The sequence below is a fragment of the Homo sapiens genome, chromosome 2, assembly GCF_000001405.40.
Source record: "Homo sapiens chromosome 2, GRCh38.p14 Primary Assembly".
Lineage (NCBI taxonomy): Eukaryota > Metazoa > Chordata > Mammalia > Primates > Hominidae > Homo > Homo sapiens.
This window is the reverse complement of record NC_000002.12, coordinates 107,489,619-107,516,639: the sequence shown is the minus strand read 5'-3', so window position 1 is coordinate 107,516,639 and position 27,021 is coordinate 107,489,619. Positions and strand designations below refer to the sequence as shown.

General features: G+C 39.2%; 1 long non-coding RNA gene across 1 annotated transcript in view, besides 2 other annotated features; it reads left to right on the top strand.

The window, feature by feature from the left end:
* The window catches only part of LINC01885 (long intergenic non-protein coding RNA 1885), a 159,884-nt gene that overhangs the window by 25,932 nt on the left and 106,931 nt on the right, over nucleotides 1–27,021 (top strand). The window lies entirely within an intron of this gene.
* Nucleotides 13,008–13,741: an enhancer, noted in NCBI's record as "OCT4-NANOG-H3K27ac hESC enhancer chr2:108119355-108120088 (GRCh37/hg19 assembly coordinates)". NCBI's record gives its function as "activates a minimal SCP1, AML or CMV promoter by ChIP-STARR-seq in primed H9 embryonic stem cells {active_cell/tissue: H9 hESC(primed)}" and the evidence as "EXISTENCE:reporter gene assay evidence [ECO:0000049][PMID:30033119]".
* Nucleotides 13,742–14,476: an enhancer, noted in NCBI's record as "OCT4-NANOG-H3K27ac hESC enhancer chr2:108118620-108119354 (GRCh37/hg19 assembly coordinates)". NCBI's record gives its function as "activates a minimal SCP1, AML or CMV promoter by ChIP-STARR-seq in naive H9 embryonic stem cells {active_cell/tissue: H9 hESC(naive)}" and the evidence as "EXISTENCE:reporter gene assay evidence [ECO:0000049][PMID:30033119]".

Genomic DNA, 27,021 nt, shown 5'->3' with positions numbered 1-27,021 from the left:
TATTGATTCAACTGATGGCTGTTCATGATTGATAGTGATGATGAGCAATACTAATATTAAGATAAATATTTAATTATGCTAAGTAAAATAGGAAAGACCAACAAAAACCACTTGTGATTTCATTTATATAAAATTCTAGAAATTGCAAAGTAATCCACAATAAGAGAAAGTAGATTGTCTGAGAATAGGGGAGAGGAGAAAAAAAAATGGCTCATGAAAGGGCCATGAGAAAAGTTCTTGGGGCTGGGTGCAGTGGCTCATGCCTGTAGTTGCGGTGCTTTGGGAGGCTGAGGCAGGAGAATTGTTTGAGGCCAGGAGTTTGAGACTAGTCTGGGCAACACAGTGAGACCACATCTCTGCAAATAAAAAATTTAAAAAATTAGCCAAGTGTGGTGGTGCATATCTGTAATCCCAGCTACTTGGGAGGCTTAGGTGGGAGGATCACTTGATCCCAGGACTTTGAGACTGCAGTGAGCTATAATCTTACCACTGCACTGCAGCCTGGGTGACAGAGTGAAACCCTGTCTCTGAAAAATCAAAAAGAAATAAAATAAAAATTATAAGTTCTTGGTATGATGCATATGTTCTTTATCTTGATCCTAGTGACAGGCTTATTTGTATACACGTGTGTCAAAACTCATCCAATGTTACACTAAATATGTGTAGTTTGTCGTATAAATAGCCAAAAGCTGGAAACAGCACATACATCCAGGAAGAGGATAGTACACAAACTGGAGAGTATACATAAAATGGAATATTACTTATCAATGAAAATGAGCAAATTGTTGATACATGAAACAATGTGGATGGATCTCAAAACATTATGCTGAAAGAAGCTTTTCACAAGAGTATTTACCGTATCATTATACTGTATGATTCTGATACAGGAGGGGGACGGGGAAGAGCTGGGTAGAGAAGGGCAGGGTCACTGGCTAGGGCTCCACACTCAGGTCTGTGCCTATGGACATAAGTGAGGACAGGCATTTGTTTTCACTCCCAAATGTTGCATTTTCCAAGACAGCCCTGGCCTGCCACATCCTGTGCTTATAAAAACCCTAAGACCCCAATGGGCACACACACAAATGGCTAGACTTTGAGAGGAATACACTGGCAGAAGAACACACAGACGCTGACAGGCCATTAATGACAGAACGACGCAGACGCCAAGGGAAATTCGGCTGAAGGTGAGCAGAGGAGAGCCCAGCCTCTAAGCAGCCCAACTCCAAGGGAAGACCACCTTCCCACTCCATGTCCCTAATGGCTCCCCATCCATCTGCTGATAGCTACCTCCACCATTCAACAAAACCTTGCACTCATTCTCTAAGCCCATGATTCGATTTTTCTGGAACACTAGAGCAAGAACCTCAGTATACCGAAAGCCCTCTGTCATTGTGACAAGGCAGAAGCTCTAACTGAGCCAATTAACACAAGCTGCCTGCAGATGGCTAAGCTGAAAGAACACCCTGTTACATACGCCCAGTGGGGCTTCAGGAGCTATAAACACTCAAACCTAGATGCTGCCATGGGGTCAGAGCCCATGTACCCCACAACCTGCCCATCTGCATGCTCCCCCTAGGGGTTTGAGCTGTGGAGCACCAAAGAAGCGAGCCACTCCCTCATTGCACGCCCTGTGAGGGGGATAAGGGAACTTTTCCCATTTCAATTCCATTTATTAGAACAGGCAAGACTACTCCACGTTTAAAAAAAAGAAAAATCACAACAGTGGTTGCCCTTTGGTTGTAGGACCAGGGATTTAGTGGAAGTGAGGCAGGGCAGGTGAATCCCAAAATTAGGGCATAGCCTGGGAGGGTTCTTGGCCTCACCCAGGAAAGAATTCAAGGGTGAGCTGGAGGTATTAGACAGCAACTTTTATCGAAGTGGCATTGCACAGCAGCAGCAGAGGTACTTCTCCTTGCAGAGCAGGGCTGCCCCATAAGCAGTGTACCCAAAGTAGCAGCTCAGAGGCAGTTCTGCAGTCAAATTTATACCCACTTTTAATTACATGAAAATTATCAGGTGTATTATGCAGAAATTTCCAGAAAAGCACGGTAACTTCTAGATTGTCAGGTCATTGCCATGGAAAGGGGTGGTAACTTCTGGATGTTGCCATGGCAATGGTAAACTGACATGGCACATTGGTGAGTGTGTCTTATGAAAATCTACTTTCACCTTGAACCTGTTTTAGCTAGTTCTCAATTTGGTCCAGTGACTGAACCCGACCTCCTATCTCAGAAGATGGCAAGAGAAAAAACTGGGGGATGACTGATGATCCTGTATCTTAATAGGAGTTTGGGTTGTATAGTTGTATGCATTTGTTGAGACTCTTCAAATAGTACACTCATGAATTGTGCATCTCATGGTAAATTTTATTTCAAAAGAATAAAAAATAACCAAGTCAGATATTGATCTAGTTAATGAGGTCTGCAGCTTATTTCAAAATCTATTTTTTTTAAAAAAAGATGATTGCTGAATGAATAGGAGACAGATAGATAAGTGATAAAGCAAATATAGTAAAATATTAATTGTAAAAACTAGGTATTAGATATATGAGTATATCCCACTTAGGCTGTTTTTTTTTGTTGTTGTTGTTGTTTTTGCCCATAATCATCTTCTATAACTTTGTATATGGTCCTATCAAGAGGTAAAGTCTGTTTTCCATTCTTTGAATCTGTCCTGGCTTTGTGACTTGCCTTGGTCAAAAAAATGTGACAGAATCATTTTCCAGCTCTAAGACTAGATCTCAAAAGGCAGTTTGCCTTTCATCTGCCTCCTTTTCATGGACAGTGCCAGGCTAGCTGGCTTGAGAATGACTGTCCACATGGAGAGTCCACATGTTGCCGCCACGGCCACCTAAGAGCCCATCAACCCCAAATATGGAAGAAAGCATGACCAGGTTCAGCAGAGATGCCGGTTTGACCCTCAGATGACCATAGATGCATGAAAGAGCCCAGCCAAGAATGGGAGAACAACCTAGCTGAGAGTTTATGAGACAGCAATAACTATCAATCCTTTTTTTTTTTTTTTTTTTTTGGAGTCTTACTCATTCGCCCAGGCTGGAGTGCAGTGGTGCAATTTCGGCTTACTGCAAGCTCCGCCTCCTGGGTTCACACCATTCTCCTGCCTCAGCCTCCCCAGTAGCTGGGACTACAGGCGCCCGCCACCATATTCAGCTAATTTTTTTTGTATTTTTAGTAGAGACGGAGTTTCACCTTGTTAGCCAGGATGGTCTCAATCTCCTGACCTTGTGACCCACCTGCCTCGGCCTCCCAAAGTGTTGGGATTACAGGCATGAGCCACCGTGTCTGGCCTTTTTTTTTTTTTTTTTTTTGACACAGTCTTGCTCTGTCACCAGGCTGGAGTGCGGTGGCATGATCTTGGCTCACTGCAACTTCCGCCTCCCGGGTTTAAGCCATTCTCCTGCCTCAGCCTCCTGAGTAGCTGGGACTACAGGTGCCCACCACCACTCCCAGCTAATTTTTGTATTTTTAGTAGAGACGGGGTTTCATCATGTTGGCCAGGATGGTCTTGATCTCTTGACCTCATGATCCACCCTCCTTGGCCTCCCAAAGTGCTGGGATTACAGGCGTGAGCCACCACACCCGATCTAGCTATCAATCTTTGGAACATTACATAATCTCTCTCAACTTCAACTTTTTCATAGTATCTATATCATAGGGTTGTGATTAGATAACTCACCCAAATGGCTTAGAACAGTGGAAAATGCATAAATCCTTCAAATCATTGCCTATTAATGCTATCTCTACTACCTCACAGAGTTTCCTTAAAGAACAACTCAAAACTCTGATTGCCAAATTCTTCAGAAATATCAGTGGAAAGCATAGAAATGACTTATTAATGTTTGCCAAGCCACTGCTCTTTTGCCTTGATGCCAGTCCAAATTGAGGCTTGTAATATATCTAAACTGAACCTGGAAAAGAGAAGAAATAGTAGATCAAATTTGAATTTGGCTATTTGCCTCTATTTCAGAAAGCTAAGAGCTCTCTCAAAGGGCAGCACAGGGAAGCAGGTGACTTTCTGTTATTCCATATCATATTGCTTTGCGTCATTTCTGACACTAAAGTCACACTTCATTTAAAAGGCAAGTGGCCTGAGCTGAAACCTTGCCCAACATTTTCCCCACCATATACAAACATCCATTTTCAAAGAACGTGGTCCCTTAAGTCTGTTTTTCGAGAGAATTGATCAGGTGACTTGGCACAGGGTATGCAACCCCTTAAAATTATAAACATTGTCGGTGCTTCACACAAAGGTGGCTGCCAAAAGTTCTGGGGATTATGCAAACCCTTTGCCATTCAAATGAACAGGCATCCTGAAACAGAAAACATTTAACCAAAAAATTGCCTAAAAATAAGTATCTCTGTACCTGGCAATGAAGAATGAGTTACTTCTCCATAGGAGGCCAGTGGCAGCATTATACAGTGTCTGGGTCAAGCCCATCTCTAGGCAAGAGACCGTGGCTGGGCTGGGCTGGGCTGACATTTCAATACTAATGAGGTGGAGCACTGTTCACGGTTACCTCTTTTCTTTTACAAAGTGTCACTGAAACATACTTAGTAAAAACACTGCTTTGAAAACACTTGGCAGACATTTTCCCTATATTTTCACCATGGGAGATTATGATAAAGCCCCCAAATGCATCTCTTTCTAGAGTCAGCCCTGGTTCAGTAGAGGTAGTAGCAGCCGGTATTTAACCCTGCGTGGTATAAAAACACCAGCAGCCCGGCCTGTGTTCCTTAGGGTGTCCCTGGTATTAAATCATCCATCCTTCCATGTAGGCCTCTTCTTGGGGTGGAGGATGGGATATTCACTAGGACACCAGTCTCATGGAAGAGTGGCTGGTGGTGGGGTGGTGCTGCATACTCTGGATAGGACATTTCTGTCCCCAAAATTGATGTCTCATGCACTTCTAGCAAGCATCCTTTAAAATAAAGGTGAAAACACAGCAAGCTTGTCTATTTACCAGTTCAGGAAAGGTGGGAAGTCTCTCTTGTTCTTGGCTTAGCAGAAAATTTATGAAATTAGGAGTTGAAGGTTTGGTACGCAGAGGCTTCAGAATGTTTAGTGCAAACCTTATAGCTATGGAAGACACTTTGCCCCACAGTTCAGCAGTCCAGGGGATGTTGTTAGTGTTACATGAAGAAAGGTCTCACACTGTCATCTATGTCTGGCAAATGCTGAGATAAACTTGGTTATTTCCTACAGGAGTTCTTAGGGCCTGGAAGGTGCAGCTGAAAGCAGGAGGTAGAATACACAGGCTGCCCAAACTCATTTAATAATGGCATTTTTTTTTCTATTCCCACAGAGCATGAAATAGTTGTCAGAAAATATTGTGGGAAATGTAGCCTTAAGGTAACCATGGGAAAGTGTATGTGACATGGTTAATATAGCCCTAGAAATAGAAATAGGCTTGAGCTTACTGGGGCAATGGAAATCACAGGTTTTCTAGCATAGCCCTAATTCTCAAGTTGGAAGCTGCCATCTATATAATCACAGAAAGTGGAGAAAAACAGTGTCAAGATGACTGTCCTTGAGTGGGAGTGAGGTCAAGCCTCACATGGATGTCCAGGAATACCATTAGGCAAATGGTTAGAGTGAGCCTGCAGCAGCACTAAGTACACTCAAGAAAGAAGAAAGAAGGCCCGATTCTGGCTCAGCGCTTACGCCAGCCCTCCTTGCAATTGCCCACAGAGCCCCAAGCCCATGGGAACATTCTATCTACCCATGGGCAGAATATGCAATACTCCTAACCATTGCATACAATGGAATACGGAGAATTGATTATTTACTAAAGTTATCAAGGATCCTGAGAAAATTAAACCCTTTCCTTAGCTGCCTGTGTGGTGAGAACTCTGGACTTTGCATTAAAAGACCAGTGACCCAGTCTCAATAAGCAACTCAGATCCCACATCTTCATTCCCTGATCTTCAAAATGAGAAAGTCATCTAAGATACTGTCTAAGATGCCTATAAGGTGAAAAATCAAAAAGTCTGCCTCTGTATCAGAGCCCTTTTGCTCGCCTTCTCTAATTCAACACCCCAGTGACACCTGTTGACTGATAGTTATCCCTTAGTCTCTTAGGAAGGGAGTAAAAGGAGAAGGAGGAATGAGCTCTTACAAGCCATTTCTAACCTTCTTTATGCAGTTTACTCTTCAGGGAAAGAGCTATTCAGTAATGGTAATACTTTCCCAGAGATGGGCAAAATGGTTTAGGTGTTGTGGCACTAACACGGTTGCTATTTCTGTCTATAGCCATTGCCCTTTTGGGGTGCTTGAATAACAAATAGTAACTCTTTCATTCCTTTATTAAATGGATAAGATAAATATATAGGAAGCAGTCCATTCCTTTAGGTGTATCATTTTTTGTTAAATTTTGTTTGTCCTTAATTTAGGCTTGTGGCAGATTTTGATGTAGACTGAAGTTTTGCATTTGATATAAAGCTCCTGTTTCTTATTTCTATATACTGTAAAGAAATAGGTAATTATTACCCTCTTGATATTACCAAAAATAGTGGACTGAGCAGTCTAAAATTAGGTTTAAATATGACAAATGGCATGTAGCCATACAGCTTCTTGATAATCACTGCAGTGCACAATGAAATTTACCCAGTGTACTGAATAATAATGAATGCTGCTAATAATACAAATTGGTGTTTTAGGATTATCTTTTATCATAATACCAAACTTACTGTGAAATCTAAATAGCTATATATATTTCCAAAGGGTATTAGTACAATAGTACTAAATCAATTCATGCAATTCTTTGCATTGTGTTGCTGTCAATGTTCTCATAGTGTTTGTTTATGTTGTTAGTTAATATGATCATTATATACTCCACAAATGGTATGTCTTACATGATGTTTGCACCACTTTCCATATTCAAGCTGGAAGATTCTGATATTCTGCTTCTTAAAGTGTTGTTTTCAATTATTGGCAAAAGGGGATTGTATTTAAGAACTTGAAGTAAATGTTCAGATGTGCTCTTTTAAAGTAATCAAAGGAAAATTATATTGCCCCAGTAGTCTCTGCAAAGATGTTTTGTAATGATGCAGCCATTCTTGAATGGCTTACCTCAAAAAGCAAAACTGAATTTGATTCATTCTTCAGGGAACACTATACTGCAACTTGTTGATGAATAAAGCTCTCAGGTCATTTTATTCTGTTCCTAATGACTAAGTAGCAGGAATGGCTTTGCCACTGGGGGGACAAAGTAGGTGTTTACTTCTATGAGGGGATTGAGAAACTACAAGATTCTTGATAAGCCTAAATAGCCAATAATTCTAAAATGACATATGTTGTATGCCACAGGATATGATTTTACATTAAAGCTTCATTTTGTGGGATGGAACCACTAAGGCATTAATAGGGAGATATTTATATCAGAGCAGCCTGACTTATACTGACTTATACTTATATCAGTGTCAGTCCCTGACACTGAATGAGGTTAACTTTTCTGACCCAAGAGGAGCTTATGCTGGAGAAAGCTCAGAAAAAGCATGTATTAATGGGTATCTATTACACAAGATAAAGACTGAGAGTGCTGAAATCCAAAGGGAACATACTTTCTGACCTTTTCCAATCTTATTTAGTGCCATTTCTAATCTAGGGACTGCTTTACTGTGGCTGAAAGAGAAAACACAGTCAAGGGCTCTAGTGACCACCAGGAGCTGCAGTTTTTCATGCCTTGATATACTTTAATGTTCTTCTTAAGCATGTGGGCATGGTTTTAATGTAAGCTGCTCCAAAAACACCTTAAAATATTGCTTCAAAGGGCCAGGTACGGTGGCTTACGCTTGTAATCCCAGCACTTTGGGAGGCCAAGGCGGGTGGATCATGAGGTCAGGAGATCGAGACCATCCTGGCCAACATGGTGAAACCCCATCTCTACTAAAAATACAAAAACATTAGCTGGGCATGTGGTGTGCTCCTGTAGTCCCAGCTACTTGGGAGGCTGAGGCAGGAGAATCTCTTGAATCCGGGAGGTGGAGTTTACAGTGAGCCGAGATCAAGCCACTGCACTCCAGCCTGGAGACAGAGTGAGACTCCGTCTCAAAAAACAAAACAAAAACAAACAAACAAACACAAAACTGCTTCAAAGAAATGATACAGAGCTGAAGTGGAAGGCAATCCATCCACTCATAACTTACCACTCCACACATTAACACACACACACTCACATATTTATTCACTATCACCACTATAATCAGCTTAGCAGTTGGCAAACTTCCTGTAATAAATGCTGATATTCATCTATACTCACACGACTAGGCTTGTCAAGCATAAGCTTCTGGCTCGCCACTGCAGTCTTGGGCCCAAAGTCTCTAAGTTAGCTTTATAACCTAGGTATTGGTATCTGTGACAGGGAGGCAGCAACTCAGGATAACGGTGCATATTTCATTGTGAGGCCAAGGGATGAGGCAGGGCAGATGTAAGAACAGCAAATAACTGGCCTGTAAGGTGCTAAATACAGCATAAAAAGCCTGTTTCTTGGTAAATGGTTAATTGACAAAAGTCAGTTGCTTTCTTATATATCAGCAATGAAAATCTGGAATTTGAAATTAAATACACAATATCATTTATATTAGAATCAAAAAATGAAATGCTTAGGTATAAAGCTAACAAAATAAGTACAAAGTCTTTATGAGGAAAACTATAAAATTCTGATAAAAAAATTAAAGAAGATCTAAATAAATATAGAAATATTCTACATATATGGAAAGGGTAATTCAATACTGTTAAGATCTCATTTTTTCCCAACTTGCTCTATAGATTCAATGCAATCCCAATCAAAATCTCAGCAAGTTACTTTGTGGATATCAACAAACTGATTCTAAAGTTTATATGGAGAGGCGAAAGACCCAGAAAAGCCAATACAAGATGGAAAAAAGATCAAAGTCAGAGTACTGAAATTCACCAAAATAAAAACTTCCTATAAAGCTATAGTAATCAAAACAATGTGGTATTTGTGAAACAACAGACAGATAGATCAATACAACAGACAGATAGATCAATATAACAGACAGATAGATCAACACAACAGAACAGAGAGCCCACATATAGTCCACCAAATATAACCAACAGATCTTGGATGAAAGAGGAAAGGCAATTCAATGTCTTTCTAACAGAGGGTGCTGAAACAACTGGATATCCACAAGCAAAAATATAAATCTAAACACAGACCTTTCACAAACATCAACTCAAAGTAGGTAATAGACACCAATGTAAAATATAAAACTATGAAACTGCTAGAAGATAATAGAAAATATAGATGACCTTGAGTTTGAAAATGACTTTTAAGATACCACACTGAGAAAGCAGGATCTATGAAATAGAAAATGGATAAATTGGACCTCATTAAATTTTTTTTTTAAAAATCCTTCTCTGCAAAATGCACTTAAGAGAATAAAAAGACAATTCACAGAACAGGAGAAAATATTTGCAAAAGACTTCTCTGATAAAAACAAACCCAAATTCAGAATATACAAAGAACTCTTAAAGCTCAACAGTACAAAAGCAAACAACCCAATTAAAAATTGGCAAAAAAAAAAAATCTGAAAAGACACTTCATCAAATAAAGTATACAGGTGGCAAAAAGCATATGAAAAGATGCTCAACAACATATGCTATTAGAGAATTGCAAGTTAAAACAACAATGAGATACTACACCATACCTATTTAAGTGTCTGAAATGCAAAGTGGTTCAGCCACATTGTGAGAAGCTTGGCAGTTTCTTACAAAACTAAACATATTCTTACCGTACAAGCCAGCAATCACACACTTTGGCATTTACCCAAATGAGTTGAAAATGTATATCCACACAAAACCTCTACACGAATGTTTATAGCATCTTTAGTCACAAATGCCAAAACTTGGAAGTAACCAAGTTGTGCTTCAGTAGGAAAATAGATAAACTGTGGTACATCTATACAGTGGAATATTAAAAGAAATGAGACTTATAACGCTATGAAATGACATGGAGGAAACATAAACACATATTAATAAGTGAAATAAGCCAATCTGAAAAGGTTACATACTGTAATATGCCAACTATGTGACATTTTGAAAAAGGAAAAACTAGGATATAGTAAAAATATCAGTGATTACCAGGGATTAAAGTGGGGGGGAATGAGTCAGCAGAGCAGAGAGAAATTTTTGGGCTATGAAACGACTTTGTATGAAATTGTAATGGTGGATACACAGCATCAAACTTTGTTAAAACCCCATAGAATGTACTTCCTTAAGAGTGAAACCCAATGTAAATTACAGACTTTTAGTAGATAATTATGCATAAATATTGGCTCAAAAATTGTAATAAATGCACTGCACTTGCATTAGCAAGATATTAATATGGGAAATTGGGGGTGGTGAGTTCCTACACACTTCACAATTTGTAAATAGCACTTAACTAGACCCACATCACTCCCCCTCAGAGAGAGGAGGGAGTTATTTCTTGCCTGTGATTCCTGCCTCTGGCTCCCAGAGTTCTTACTAAAATCTCCTAATCTCTGAATGTTACGTAGGAAACACCAACACTTTTGCTAACAGAGATCTCTCTTTCTAGGTCTTTCACACAGCTCTGCTTGCAAGGCAGTAAGAGGAGTTAAAATGCTGAAAGAATGGCAGATTCTCTTATGCTATGTTAGACATTTATTCCATTAGTTTATTTTTGTTTTTAGAGAAACTCACTGAAGCCTGGGATTAAGAGGGCTTTGATTTCTTTACACAAAGCAATGTCTTGCCAAGGAAAATGAGAACCTCTAAAAGCCTTTGTCTTTTCTGCACGGAACAGCCATTGTCACTAAGTCAATGACATCTCTGCAGAAGACAAAGAAGTAAGAAATGCTTAGATTTACCCTAGCTTATTAAACCAGGTTTGTCTTCCTCCCAATTCCTAGAGGTTCCCAAAGTCTTAGAGTATGTCAAAGTGCACGAGGACTACTGACAATATCCAATTTTTGAGAGATGTTTAATGAAAAATTAAACTAGATATAGAAGAATAGGAAGGAAAAGTATAGATGTTTTACTAAAAACATCTCTAAAATAGCAGGCATCCTCTGCCAGGCTTCCAGGACAATGTCTGTTGCTCTTGCTCAGGGTAGGAGAATGTGATCTCAGAGCAGTAAACCCGAGACAGCCCCCTGGCAATCTGCAGATCTGGTGGTTTTGTTTTTTCCTCTCCTTTCATTTCATTTCTCTTCAGTTTCATTTGTAAACTGGCTGGGTTATGTCCCGACAGGTTGAGATGTTTAGATGTTTCTTTGAGAGTACTTCATGGTACCAAGAACGTGGTCTCTCTTCTCCATTCTTCATAGCCTTCTAGTTAAGGATGCCTCATCTAATCTGAAAGCATTTACTGTGCTCAGAATCCTATCACACTGCAGCAGGTCCTTAATCTGTCACTGACACTGAAGATTAATAATATTACAAATGCCTGTGATAAAGCCTATCTCTCATTCGTTTTTTCTGAGTTTCCTTGTCATGCAAAGATCATGTGAAGAGTTCCCCCCTTTCCTGGACCAAACTGAGGGTCAAGCTGCTATTTCTTGTGGCCCAATAATGAGATACAGATGAACTGGGGAGGAAGAGAGTTTATTTCTACAACCAGTTACAGGGAGAAGACCTGGAAATTATCACCAGATCAACTCAAAATTACAAAGTTTTCCAGACCTTATATGTCTTCTAAGCTATATGTCTATATGTAAGTGTGCATTCATCTATAAAGACATAAGTGATTAATGTCTTTTAATCTATAACTAAGGTCTGAGCCCTGAAGACCTTCTTCTGGAGTCTCAGTAAATTTACTTAATCTAAGTGGGTCCAGGTGCGAGCGTGATTACCCTTATCTTTTCTCCTGCTAAATCATGGAGGTTTGGGGAGTTCCTTTAGACCCCTAATAAACTTGTTTGTGGAGGCCTGGGGAGTTTCTTCAGACCCCCAAAACTTTTTTTTTTCTTTTTTGAGACAGAGTCTCTGTCGCCCAGGTTGGAGTGCAGTGTTGCAATCTCGGCTCACTGAAACATCTGCCTCCCAGGTTCAAGTGATTCTCCTGCCTCAGCCTCCTGAGTAGCTGGGACTACAGGCATGTGCCACCATGCCTGGCTAATTTTTTGTATTTTTAATAGAGACAAGATTTCACCGTGTTAGCCAGGATGGTCTCGATCTCCTGACCTCGTGATCTACCCGCCTTGGCCTCCCAAAGTGCTGGATTACAGGCTTGAGCCACCATGCCCAGCCAAAACTTGTTTAATCCTAAATGGGTCCTGTTAAGTATTCCTTTGTTATTTGTCATGCTTTAAGGCCCAGGAAAGGCCTTCGCAAAACTCTTGGTGGGCTTTTGTTACATTATAGCCTTTGTATAAAGTCACTGGCTCTTTTAGCTTTTAATATTTAACTTAATCACCCAGTCAGTACTGAAACAGTTGTTATGAAGCCCTGCATTAGTGAGACCTGACCTGCCACACCCCTACACAGGATCCTAAGACAGACTGTTAAAGGCAGGTCCCCAGAGTGGCACTGTAGGTAAACACAGAGACAGTTGCAGCATAGAGACAACTGGGACCCCTCTGCAAACTGCTCAGCACCTTTTCTATCTCTCTGTGAAACTCTTCTGTCGCTTGAAATGCAATTTATAGACTTAGAGGAATTCTGTGTTTCATCACATAACAAAATGCAGAAGGTAGAACTCATCATTTTTGTCTTTGGCTACCCTGAAAGCAGATGTTTTGTTGTTAAGAGAATAATAACAAAGTTTTTTTTATCGTAATGATAGAAGGAAACAAGAATAAAGACCCTTGTATATGGAGTATAAAAGAAGAAATGAATAATGCAGCTGACTGAAGAGGGGGACTCAGTAACTGAAGAGCTGGGAAAGCGGATTGAAAGGATTGAAGACTTAGGTGTTTGCCTCAAGACCCTGGGAGTTCTTTATCCAGTTCTCTTATTTTTGTTTTGTTTTGTTTCTCATTTGATGGGAAGAAAAGATTTGAGAGAAGGGTAACTCCAGGAAGCTGTTTTAACAACCTCAGAACTAGAATACTTTGCCACAGAGTTATAAGATACTTCTTTTTTGCTTTTACTTTTGTTTTTGTTTTTTGACATTTGTTTCTGTTTCAAAAATGTTCAATTAAAATATGTGGCAAAGACATTCTGTTCACACACCCCATCCATTGCAATGACAGTTCCCAGCTTCAAACCTGCAAACCGACTTTTTTTTGGAAACCAGTTTGTCTCCTAATAGCATTTGGTTGCTTTTATCTCCTTACTTTTGATTTAAAAAAATGTTTTTCTCCTTCTATGTGAAATTTCATTTCAAAAAGAAGACTGATGGCAGGCATTGAATCTGGAAGCTCTTCCACCCAGAGTGACAAAAATAAAGAGTGATGCTGAAAGCTGCACTGCATGAAATCCTCTCTCTGCCGTCCTTTCTCCAAATCCCTTGCTGGCTCTAAAGAGATCTCCTGAGAACAGAAATTGTACATTGACATTGACTGGTTTTTATTCAACGATTAAGCCACACCTCATCTCCTGTATTTTCCAAATAGACAGCAGGGCTGTTTTCTTAAAAGTGAAAGAAAACGTTGACAAGGATCTCACTATATTAGATCATTTCCAAGGTCACTCATGACCCTATTATCTCCTGCTCTCCAGTAGCCTAAACACGGGATCAGAGGGTAGTAGAATATCCTTAACATTGGCTTCTATAGGTGTGTTGCTGCTAACTTGGAGAGGGCAGAGACAGGCTATTACAGACTTCTTTCATGATGCAAATGTGGGAGCTAGTCCTTTGTTACCAGCTGGTAAGGGAAGTTGGCAGATACATGAAAATGGAAGGACTAGCACATAGCAAACAAATGGCCATTTAAAATGTTGTTATTCATTTAGAAAGTCTACAAGTCAGACTACTAATGCTAAATTGGAGTGAAATCAGACCCCATACATAGTAATGAGCTTTGAAGTTTAGCTTAGAGTTAAGAGAGATCCATCATTTTATGTTAATGCAGACAGGCCAGACAAGGAGAATGACAATGGGAAGACATACAAACTAGGTGAGCACCAAGAAAAGCTTTTACAAGCCATTCACAAGGAGTGCAAACAATAGTGAATGCACCGATTCCTTCTAAAATGCTCCCATTCAATGTTTTTCAGTGTCTATGGAAGGAATAAAACACATTGCCCACAGTTCTCTTTGTTCTAATCACTTCCACAGAGGTTGAAGATTTATTGGCTAATGGGAAACCAGGAGGGGCATAAAGGCTTTTCTTGATTAACATGGGTAATGATGTCATAAATAGAGAGCATAAAATATTCATTTATATTTGATAATCCTCTGAAAATCTATTGTCGTAGGATCACGTAGGCCAATCTGCGGCATCTTTAATCACATTTTAATGGCATCACATGGGCAGTGTGTAATAGCACTTCATCTCACCTCAAGAATGCAGAATAACCGAGTTTTCCGTAGTAATCAGGCATTGTGCATTAAATTCTTAATTCAAAATAACAAAGGCTAACATTTATTGAACACTTACTAAGTGTCAGCTACTAGATACCTTACATATATAGTTAATATTCACAATATTGTTATAAAGAGATACTATCTCATTTTAGAAAATAGGAAACTGAGGCATGGGAGGATAAATAATTCACACAGCTAGAAAGTGGTAAAGCAGAATTTCAAACCCAAGCAATATGACTAAAGAACTCATGTTCTTAATTACTACATTAAATCTTTGTCATTTATTACAACTTTATAAACTTCCACAAATCTGAAATTTCAAAAATTTGAAATGATTTGATTTTAATTTTCCAATATTGTATTATCATTTAATACATCTCCAAATTATCCATGTTGCTTAATTTGGCTGCATTGGGTCAGACATTTATGGAAATAGAATTGCACTCATCAGATTTGTCTGTAGTATCTGGGCTTCTTAGAAGAAACCAATGAACGCCCGCATCGACATCATCATCCCCAGAACTATTCACCCAGCCGAAAACTGTGCTAAGCACTAGATCTCATGGGGTCTCATGGACTGCTTGCTTCCGGAGTTTATCCACTTTTAATGCACTTCAGATTTGAAACATAAAAAGTATAGTATCCTATAAATGAAAGAAAGTTGTTAGAGAATAGGCGAATTTTCCCAGGTACAGTCATCTTAGTTGTTCAGCAGGAACTCCTTCAAAAATTAAGTACGTGGCCTGGGCCTTTTAAAGATGGTGTGAACCATTCTTCCCTATCATTTCCCAGCCCTAATACCTGTAATGAGTTTTTCACAGGAACTGCATGCCTAATTGACTATCAGCAACATCGAACATTTGTCCTTTCTTAACAGAGGAATTTATGTTACTCTGGCTGTGTGCTTGAATGGATGGCTTAATTCATCTTGACCTTGTTGTGCTATTGATGCAACAGAAATACTGAGCCTAGGTGATTCTCCGCATAACTAAGCACAGATGAAGCACCTGAGGAGGGGTGGGGGGTTGTCATCAAGATTTAAAGTAACTTAAGCTTTGATGTGATTTGTATAGCTGCAAAGAAGCAAAGTAGAGATGTCGATGTCAGGGAACAATTTTTTGGAAAGCCCTCCAGTGAAAAGTGGATAGCAGTGACTTTAAGCAGCCATGGAAAATAGTTGATCTTTTCAATGACTGTTGGTAGCAATTCTGCTACTCTATTTTTCTATTCCATGTAAACCAAGAAAAACAGTTTTGGCATTAGAAACATACTGATACTCATCGACAAGTTGAACTTGTCTTAGTGATTTTATTTTTGTCTTTTTCTTGCTCTTTGTGGGCCAAAAAACAATCAGAAGACAATTTTTAAAAGAATATTAATACTACCTATTTACCCAGTGATTACTATACCAAGCAGTGTGCTAGACATCACACACTGAAGAGAGGGAGGGAGAGGTTATTGTCTCAAATAACTAACTTGTTAAATTGTCTTATTTAATCTTCTCAGGAACATTAAGAGTATGTATCCTCATTATTCACAAGCATAGGTGAGGAAACTGGGGCTCCCAGTGGACGAATTATTTGCCCAGTTCCCAGAGGTAAAAAATGGCAGAGCCAACCTTGAAATCTTTGTCTGACTCCACAGTCCGCTCACTGTCTGAACCATTATTGTTATATCTCTGTACAAGAAGTAATTTTCCATGCAGTGGAGAAGAATATACGTTGAAGAATTTTTCTAACACTAAGGACATTTTTTATTAATTCAATAATTATTAATACAGATACTATCACATGAAGGCTATGTGTTTCATACTGAAGAGATACAGTCGTAACTACAGCAATAGCTAGTGATCACTGAGAACTTACTATGGGCCAAAAATTTTAATTTATTATTTCATTTAAATCTTACAACAATACTATGTGGCAGTTACTATAATTTTCCAAATTATTTTATTAAAAAAATTAAAGATTAGATAGTTTGGACCACTTGCTCTATGGCAATGAACAGGTAAGTTGTAAAATTTAGGCTCTGGGATACCAGAACCCAAGCTCTTAAATTTTAAATAAACAAAAATCAGGAAGTGACATTACAGACACATGGAACATCAGGAAGGTGGAACTACATAAAACTGAGTGGACATTTGGGGAATAACTAATGTAGGAATTGAAGCCATAGTCTGATTTACAGAGGATTGTAGGCTTTTAAAAGAAAGCAAATGGAACTATCAAAGGGTTTGTGCACAGTAGATAGACATGATAAGGTCTGTTTTACTTTCTTATGCTACTGACTTATAAAGAATATAGCTTATGTTGTGAGTTCTCTGTTCAACAGTGGTAATAGATTTTTATAACTTGTCACTTCTATAATAGAGATCCACTTGTATCCATCTGTATTCATTAGAACACTTTCAGTTGCTTATAACAACAATCCCCTTAAAGCCAGTTAAAGGAGAAAAATAAGACAGGTAGGTGGGTGAGGCAAGATGTTACCGGGTTGGGCAACGGAATAGCCCATGACTCCCTTCAGACATGGCTGTCTCTAGATTGCTTAAAAGATGTCATAAAAAATACGTTTCTCACTCACTCCATCTCCCATCTCTGCCTTGCTCTACAGGTGATGGCAAAGATGATCCTCAGGCATACCTGATCTTTGGGTTCATGACCAGCTTGAGACACCTTCCCCATTTCTGAGTTCATATGGATACATGAGGAAGGATTCCTCTTGGGTCCTGCACCTCCACTGGCCTGGTTCTCAGTTGAGGGAAATTCTGGTTGGCTAGGAGAGGTGCCTGAGCTTCATGGTCCCACCAGTCTAGGAAGGAATTGTTCCTAAAGGGAAAAGATGAGTTCTAGTCGCTTAAAATTGAAACGGAAAGCTAGGTAGGCAAACACAGCAGATGTCCTTTATAGCAATGCAGATGCCTGTGTGATGTGATGGGAATGGAAAGAAAAACCCCTTCTTCCCATACAGCCTCTCTTGGACAGGAATTCCCTTGTTAGTCACTCCTTTAGGAGAAGGAATAGAGGGCACTTTGTAAAGCAGGAAGGCAGAAGCTTTAAGCCATTATCACCCCCTAATAGTGTATTAGGAAAGAGCTTTTCAGATTGCCCATTTTACCTGCTAGTTTTGCCTGGAGCAGGCTGTAAGTAATACATGTTTCTGAAATAGTGGGTTCAGTTAATACTGTAAAGAAAGAAACAAGGTAAATGGACCCTTCAGGAGATTAATACAGCACTGTGGATGCAACAGCAGATGGCGGTGAATTTGTAAACCTGGACTGCAGTTTGCCTCTAAGTTATTAGGGTGACCTCAGGAGAAAAAAACTGTCCCACACTGGAGGTAACAGTGATGACAGCTGACATTTAGTACCATGTGCCTGCCACTATGCTAAGCACGTTCCCTAAGTTATCTAATCAAATCTGCTTAAGAAAATTTTGAAGCATATAATTTTATTCTCCCCATTTTATGACAGAAGAAATTTAAATAATTTAGTCAAGGTCATATAATAGTGAATTGTGGAGCGGAGATGAGCAGCCAGGACAACTGGACTTCAAAGCCATGTTGATTCTGTCAGGCTACACTGATACAGATGCTAAGGAGGAAATGCACACATTAGGTGAGGATTCACATAGATAGAACCTGGATGTCTTTCCAACTGTGAGGCCCGTGAGTCTTTCAGGATCTTCAAGGATTATCTGTGGGAGGAAATCAGCCATTCCTTGTATGGTATGTGGCTTTTGCAACGCCCCTTCATGGTTTCTCTCCCTGTTATTGGTGTTTATGTGTGCTGGCAACTTCCCTATAAGAATATATCTTGAGCATGAAAAGATGATGTGGCTAACAGAAAAACAGGATAGAGGAAAATCACCAAACACTTGCTACCAATGCCAAATGAGGATTGGAGCCTAATCTACTGACTATTACTGGGACATTCCTAGTGTTGAAGGTGCTTCAAGCCATGCCCTGCATAAGTACCATGACAGACCAGTCACTGTGTCTGCAGGTGGAATTATAGCCCTAACCCCTGGGAGCCTGCCTACACACCACTGTGGAAGCTCCATTGACCTCACACCCTGTACTTTACCCTACCCACATCACTAGTCACAGGGTTAGAAATTTCTGCTAAAAAAATTCTATTCTAGATTTAGGTGTATTGACCTTGGCAATCTAGCTAGAAACTCATACATTTGCATCATCTTGCAATCCTACACCTTGTATTTTGCATGTTAACATTTTATACACTTTCCCAAGGTCTAGCTACACCTGCCTGAACTCCCATCTTTCACCTAGATTGGAAATCCTGGACAATTTTCCCAGAAATCAGAAGATGATATTTAGCAGCTGAATGAGTTTGATGTCATAATTAAGCAAAACTCACAACCCACATTCCTGCCAAGCAGGTGCACTGCCTGTGCAAGCATCCATGTGTATATTCATATTGGACCAAAAGTTTGCACAGCATATGCCCCAAGAAATACATATTGAAGACCCAAGGAGTAGCCAATCCCTACCTCACTCTTTAAACAGACACAAAACAATTCTAGAGAGATTCAAATGTTCAAATTTTAAGTTTTGGATGACAGTCCTTTCTGTATCAGAAAACCAAGAAACTAAAAAATTAATGATTGATAAATTTCATATAATAAAGTTCTAAATGAAAAAAATAAAGCAACCAAGAGCAGTAACAAAAGATAATAACTTTTTTTTTTAACTGGCAAAGACATGCACAAGCAATTTACAAGTATATGTATATAAATATAAAGATAATGCTATCAAAAATAATTAAATGAAATATTAATCAGCAATATAAGGGAATAAATGACTCATACATGCAACAGCCATATAAGGGCATTCATTATGCTGAGTGAACGAAGCTGCTTTCTGGCCAGTCACGGTGGCTCACACCTATAATCCCAGCACTTTGGGAGGCTGAGGCAAGTGGATCACCTGAGGTCAGGAGCTTGAGACCAGCCTGGCTAACATGATGAAACCCTGTTTTCACTAAAAATACAAAAATTAGCCGGGCATGGTGGGGCTTGCCTGTAATTCCAGCTACTGGGGAAGCTGAGGCAGGAGAATCGCTTGAACCCAGGAGGCGGAGGTTGCAGTGAGCTGAGATCACACCACTGTGCTCCAGCCTGGGTGACAGCGCAAGACTCTGTCTTCAAAAAAAAAAAAAAAAATGAAAAAACAGTTGATTTCTAAAGGTACCATATGATACCATTATGGAATGTCTTTCAAATGCTGGAACTGGAGAGATGAAGGCTTGGGGGAGGGATGGGGTGGGTGGTGGATGGCACTGTGAATGATGGTATGAGAAAATTGCTTTGTGCTTCTCTGTACCTTGACTGTGGTGACTGTGGTGGTGGTTATACACACAATCGCATTGCAGGGAACGCTGACCTGCCCCTATTACATGTACAATGGAGTGCATGTAAAAACTGGTAAAAACTAAATGGGATCTGTAGTCTAGTTAACAGCATTACAGCAATGTCAGGTTCCTGGTTTTGATATTATATTGTAGTCACATACAATGTCATTTTTGGAGGATGCTGGCTGAAAGGTTTATGGGACTCAATGTGTGCATTTTTCCAATTTCCTGTGAGTTTGTATTCATTTCAAAATAAAAAGTTAATAAAATTAAGACAGAATCCTCAAATCCAACTGAATTAAATAAATACAAATGGAAATTGAGAGTTACCATTTTCTACCTATCACATTGGAAAAACTGAATAACAGTCACTGTTGGAAAATGTTATGGGTTGAATTGAGTCTCCTGTCCCTTCAAGTATCTGTCACTATGACCATATTTGGAAATAGGAACCCTGCAGAGCAAGTTAAGATGAGGTCATTAGAGTGGGCCCTAATACAACTGCATCCTTATAAAAAGAGGTCATTTTGACACAGAAACAGACACATACAGAGGAAAGACAAGTGATGACATGGAGAGGACAGGGCTCTACAAGCCAAGAAATGCCTGAAGCTGTTGAAGTGGGGAGAGAGGCCGGGAGCAGATTCTTCCTCACAGCCTCAGAAGGAACCATCCCTGCTGACACCCTGACTTTGTACTTCCAGATTCTCAAGTTGTAATAAAATAAATTTCAGTTTAACCAACGGTTTATGGTATTTTGTTATGGAAGCCCTAGCAATGAATGCAGGAGTACAGGGAAGGAGGCCCTTTCCTAGAATGCTTGTGAGAGGAAGAAATTGGTGCAACTTCTTTGGAGGGAAATGTGGCAATATTTATTCAAATATAAAGTCACATACAATTGACCCAGTAATTATGCTTCTGAGTAGTCACTCTAGGGATACAGTCATATTTTCCAAAGATTCATTTCCAAGAATGTTCATTGTAGTGCTATTTTTAATAACAAAACCGTAAAACAACCCATGTCCATCTATTGGGGAATAGATAATAAATCATGTGATTCCATGTAGTGTGATACAGATCTACAACACCATGTAGGCACTTCAAAAATTCAAATGCTCTGAAACATTGAAGTTTTAAAATGACTTGCAGCAGACTTATTTGATGCTGAAAGCTGCTCTGTGTTGACATGAGGCTTTGTAAAGTCTTTATTCATCCCAGCCAATGTAAATATTCATTTGTTACATTGCAGAAATAGCAGTAGCAGTTAAATAAGAAGTGTATCCCCGTATCTTTCTAGGAATTTTATCATCATCTTTCTAAAATTTGGAAAATTGTGAATACTGTATTACATCTAACCCCAAGGATTTGGGACAATGGAACAAGAGCTGATATTCACAGTTGTTGAAATGTATGTGATAAAAATACAGTACACAGTGCAGATTAGAAATACCTATCACCGGTTATATTATTAAGTGAACTAATATCCTCAGTGATAATATTAGGTAAAAAAAAAAAGCAAGGGCATAGAATAGTATATGTAAAAAGTTACTTGGGTAAATGATTACAAGCACATAAACAACTAGAAATATATAAAAATCTAATTACGATGTTACACTTTAGTAATTGAGATCAGTTCTGCCCTCATTCTCCACCACAGCTGTCCTAGTTAGCAATGTACTTTAGCAAGGCAGACAGCTTTTTGGGGTCTGGCTTTGGCAGGAAGGCTGTGAGGGGCTGAGAACCTTGCTTCACTCTGCCTTGACTCTGGTTAGGGTAAACTGATTTGTCGGTCTATACCTAATTTCTAAATAAATGTCTCCAAGGTACCAATGCATTGCATTTTGGGGGGATTAATAGAGATTAAATAAGCATCTTTAAAGAAGTTGATAAAGGCATCCTCTCTCCCTCCATCCTTCCCCTTTTTCCTCTGTTCCCTTCCTCCTGTCCCTCTTCCTCTCTCCTTCCTCATCCCTCAACTTCCTCCATCCCCTGTACCTTCCTGTTCTTCCCCCTTTCCTTTTATCCCTTCCTCTCTTTCTTTCCTCTGTCCTTCCTCCATGCCATCTACCCACTCCCTCTCTTCTTTCCTCCCCTTCTTCTGTGCACTCTCCCTCCCTGTCTCCCCCTCCCTCCCTTTCCTGTCTTTTCTTCTCTCCCTCTATCTCTTCCTTCCTCCCTTTCCCTCTTCTCCGTTCCTTCTCCCTCCTTTCTTCCTTTTCCCTCTTTCACTATCCCTGCCTCTGTTCCCCAGTCAACACCTGTGCCCTGAGTGCACCCTTGTGAAACACCTGGCCCTGACCTTCACACCCGGAATTGAGAAGGGAATAAGACAGTCATTGTGGGAAGCATGGCTTACACTTCTTTCTCTACTCCTTCTTCTGGTTCCCTATTTAGTTCTTTTACAAACAGATTCCATAGAGTCAGCTAAAACATCACCTTTATGCTATTATAACTAAAACAAAAATTCTATGTTTCTGTGTTTGTATTATCTGAATGTTGAGATTTTCCTACAGCACCAGGTAAGACTTCTTTAAGAATCAAACTGGCCTGCAAGCTTTCTGATGACCACCGCTAATCAAACAACCAGTTTAACCCGGGGGATCACTAGAGCTCTATGCCTGCAGCTAACTCCCCCATACATGCCAACATTTCCTTCAAATAAATAGACTTTATAAAAATTTCACTTGAGAATCTGCACAACTCCCTGTGCTATAAATCTATGACACCCTGAGCACAGTCCGGGACTTGTTCTTCCCTTTTCCCTCAGCTGTGTCACCAAGGTAGCTTAAGATACTGCTCTGACTCCGGCATCCTGTCAGAAACACCATGGTTCTAAGGCAAAATTATCATGCTCAGTTCTTCTTTTTCTTTGCTCACTAGAATCCTATCATTCCCGGAGTGAAGCAAAGCCCTCAAGACATCTGATCAGCAGTCTGCCAAGCTCTTTCTTTAAATGGCTAAAAGGATCAGGCTCTGAGAGCCTGAAAATCAAAACAGCTTCAGATTTCATATCCGGTGTAAACTAAAAATAAAATCCTAAACTTCCATCACCCCACCAACTAAATGGACCTCTTTTTGGCCAAGGGAACACCAGGAAAACCTAAAAAACTGAATTCTTAGGCATGGAGGGAAGGGAGGCCGGACATGCCTCATTAAACCCCCGCCCTTTTGGAGGTCAAGCACAACTGACCAGTATTAATGTTAAAACAGAGATCATGAGATGGATAAAATAGGCTTTTTGTGGCAATAAGACACCACATTAAAGACAGGACCTAAGGCCATGCTAGGCAAGGGTTAGGTCACACCTGCAGGTCATCAGTTTTGCCATATAGCATCCTTATCTCAAAGCATTCTTTTCTGCTGACTGTCAGAGTTTAGACAGAGCCTTACTCCTTTAACCAATTGCAAATTAAAGAATCTCTAAGTCTACTTATAACCTGTAAGCCTGCTCATCAAGATATCCCACCTTTTCCAGCTGAACCAATATATACCTTCCATGTACTGATTTAGGTCTTTGTGTAACTCCAGCCTCCCTAAAATGTGTAAAACCAAAACGGTGATGTGACCACCTCAGTACCACTTACTCGAGGCTTCTTGGGTTTGTGTTTTTCTTGGGGTCACAGTTACTCATATTGGCTCAGAGTAAGCCTCTAAAACATTTGACAGAGTTCATTTTTTTCTGTTAACACCAGCCTGTCATTATTTCCTTCTTGGTTCCCAGACTCCAGTGATCTCTGGTTCTTGTAAGTACGCTTTTCTGGGCTAGAATCTGGGCTGTGAACCCTGCATAAAAACGTTGCCTTAGCTGTTATGAATGAAAACTCACAAATTAAAATGCCTAATTCTTCTCCCCAGTTACCTCTTCATCTATTTACCTATCCCTTTAAAGCTCCTCAGTATTTAGGTATTAAAGAGAAACCTGGGGAGAAAGCAGACAAGAATGGTAGCTTGAAAGCTTGTGCTATTTGTGAAGTGGGCCAGACACAAAAGGAACTCAGGGTAGATCAGCAACTCTACAAATTAACACCTGTAATCATTCCATCTTATTGTGAATAAAGCTTATTAATTTGAATGTAGGTGAAATATTATTATAAAGATATTGATGACGTTGATAAGATTGAATGTTGATTGACATGAAAAGAGGCATCAGCTTTCTCATACAGAGATTTATGGGGATTTGTCAACTCAAAGAAACCTGTGAAGTCCACTGATCTCAGCCCTTCATTGTGAGGAGAAGAACCAGCTATCCAAAGAAAATGGAGGCTTCAGTAAGGAAGTGTGTTCCAGGCACCACCCTGCCTGTGTTCGTTTGACCAGCTCTTCTGGAGCATGGTAATATAGTTCACTTCTTAATGACAAATTATAAGTTGATACACTGCGACATAATTAATTTTCCAGAGTCTAAAATTTCAAACTTAGAGAACTTCAGAGAAATGCAAGCATTTATTTTGCTGGAACCTCAAGGAGCTTCTGCACAGCCTTCCTGGATGGTTCCCTCAGGCCTAGCAGAATCCTCTTTGCACATCTATAGACTCTCATACATGCCTCTGTTTTGGGACTTAGCCATCACAGTCATGACTGCTGGTTAGACTGCTATTGGTGAGATTGTGCTGTATTGCCAGTATCCAATGCAGTACCTGACTCGTCGTTCAAAAAAAAACATGTGACTGCTGAATAAATGAAGAAACTGCTGCCAGCCAGAGCTGCTGGGTGCCTTCTCAAAACAGGAAGTCTGTTGTGAGGTTGTTGTGAGGGTGCCTGTTTTCTTAATAAGAGTTAGTGCATAGAAAATGTACAGAAATGAGCCCACTTTTAAATCTTGGCATAGTCCCTTGCATCTGTCACCTTGGCAAGTCACGTAACTACTCTGAGCCCCAACATCTTTATTTGTTAAAAATAAAAAAGGTAGTAATGATATTATCGTTGTTAAAAAAATGAAGTTCATGACTGATTGTTGTAAAGATTAATTTTCATGAAGTATGTAAAAATTTCTAACAACTGCCAGGCATATTTTCAGTGCTCAACAAATAAATCTCAGTAGAATCTGAATCTGAATGTTGCCTCCTCTGGATAATTTATTTTTTCCTTATAGGAATGCAACTTTGATTACCTCATGAAACTTAGTAACACAATACTATTTTTTGAGGAAATATGCATTATAAATAACTTAATGGAATGCACTTCTTCTTTAAAGCATATTAGGTGATTCCCCAGCTACACAAAAGGGATACTTCTAAAACCACCTACACCAGGCTGAGATCACACTATATCTTCTTAAAAGGCATGCACAATATAAAAGTATCTCTATTTTGAAGATATAAAATAATACAAAGAAAAGGGAAGTAAGCTTTCTAGGGTCACGTAGCAAACTGGTGACAAAATCAGGAAGATAATTGCATTCTGAATTCATGGACCAATGCTCATCTCTTTTATTTATCTTGGAGGTGAAGTTGGAGTCCAGGTGTGATAAGATGATTGATTCTGTTTTTCTTAACACTGGAAAAGAATGCCAGAGAAATGAGACATACCCGGGTTTGTGTTCTTAATTCATTTACCTTTCCTTGCTTTGTTCCTCTTGAAACAAATTGAATCTGTAATTTTTTAAAGTTGTCATTACAATATGAATGAATTTATTTCTTTACCTCTTCTTCCTCTCTCTTTTGATTGCTTGAAACCACATAAAAACAAGCAAATGTGATGGCGATTAAGTCTTGGCAGAAGATATTTAGTTGATGTATCGATTCCAAGTCGCTATCAGGAAAATAATTAAACTAAGATTTCATTGGTGATTTTCTGGTCTGCTAGGTGTGAAGGACATTTATTTGCATTAGTAGAAAATAAAGTTCTATGCTGTTACATAAGACTGGATATATCTAATTTTTTGAAAAAAGGGATAGGTTTACTTTTCATTTAAAACCATGAGAAAATTGCTACTCAGCAAACAATTTATTTTAAGCCAGTGGGTTTTATAACGTCAAGCAATTGCTTTTGTTCTTTGTCTTCTTTATAAGTTCAGCATTTAAATGTTTTCTCTTCTTTTGTCTTACATTTTCACTGGAGTTCATGTTGTGTTTCTTTTATTATCACAGGAGCTGCAAATATTTATTTTTAATATTCTAATCTCAGAATAAGAATGATATTCAGCACCACAGCAAGCACACTTACTTAGCATAAGAATGCATTCTATTTTAAAAGCAATTGCATAGGCAACAGCAGCACTGGAGCTAGAATAATTTATGTGCGGAAACATGGCTATATGATAAAACACATTGACTGCTGAATTATTGGTATAATCCTGGGATCAGGATGGTGGCTTCTTCGTTTACCTTTCTGTACCTTTGTCTGCCAAGGTCATATTGTAGTCATATCTTGAATCTTTAGCATCCTAATGCATTTGCATTTTACCTATTTTCAGAAAAGAACTGATGTTGTGCTGTAAACATGTTATAATGCTAATGTCAGAGAAAAGACTCTGCTTCTTTTTTTCCTTGGCAAGTTTTTTGTTTGTTTGTTTGTTTCTCAAGTAGGGAAGGGAACAGATAATAGAGATAATAATTTTTTTCTCTTTTTTAATGAAGAACATGATTTATAAAAGGCATTTAGAGTTGCAAATTAGCATCAATGCCTACTATATCATTTTTTTTTGCTTCCTCCCCCTTCCTCCCCTTCCCCACTCACTACCATACAATTTTTAAAAGCTTATTTAAAATAGGATTTGGAAGAAAGAGTAAGGAAATCTAAAATACGAATTAGTTTATTCTCTAAATACAGAGTTAAAAAGTTCAGTGTAACTTCAAACTGAAAAAAATATACATTGCTACTTCCAGAAAATATGATGTTATTTTCTTAAGATTTCTTTTTTACAAATTTCCTATAGTAAATTATTCTTTAAACTTTCTTTTGGGGTATAATATACATAAAATAAATGACCATGTCTGGAGCTTCAGCAGTCACTACACTTTCCATGTCCCCCTCCCCAGCAGTGGTCACCACTCTATAAGCATAGATTAGTTCTACTTATCCCTCACTTTTGGACTGTAGATAGGTTAATCATTTTTGTCCTCTTCTAGCCCCTTTGTGTCTGTGTTCTTGACTGGGGTATCCTTTTGTTCACATTGAGATTATCAATAAACAGCTTATTATCTTGCTCACTTTAAGTCAGTCAAAGTAGAAACTT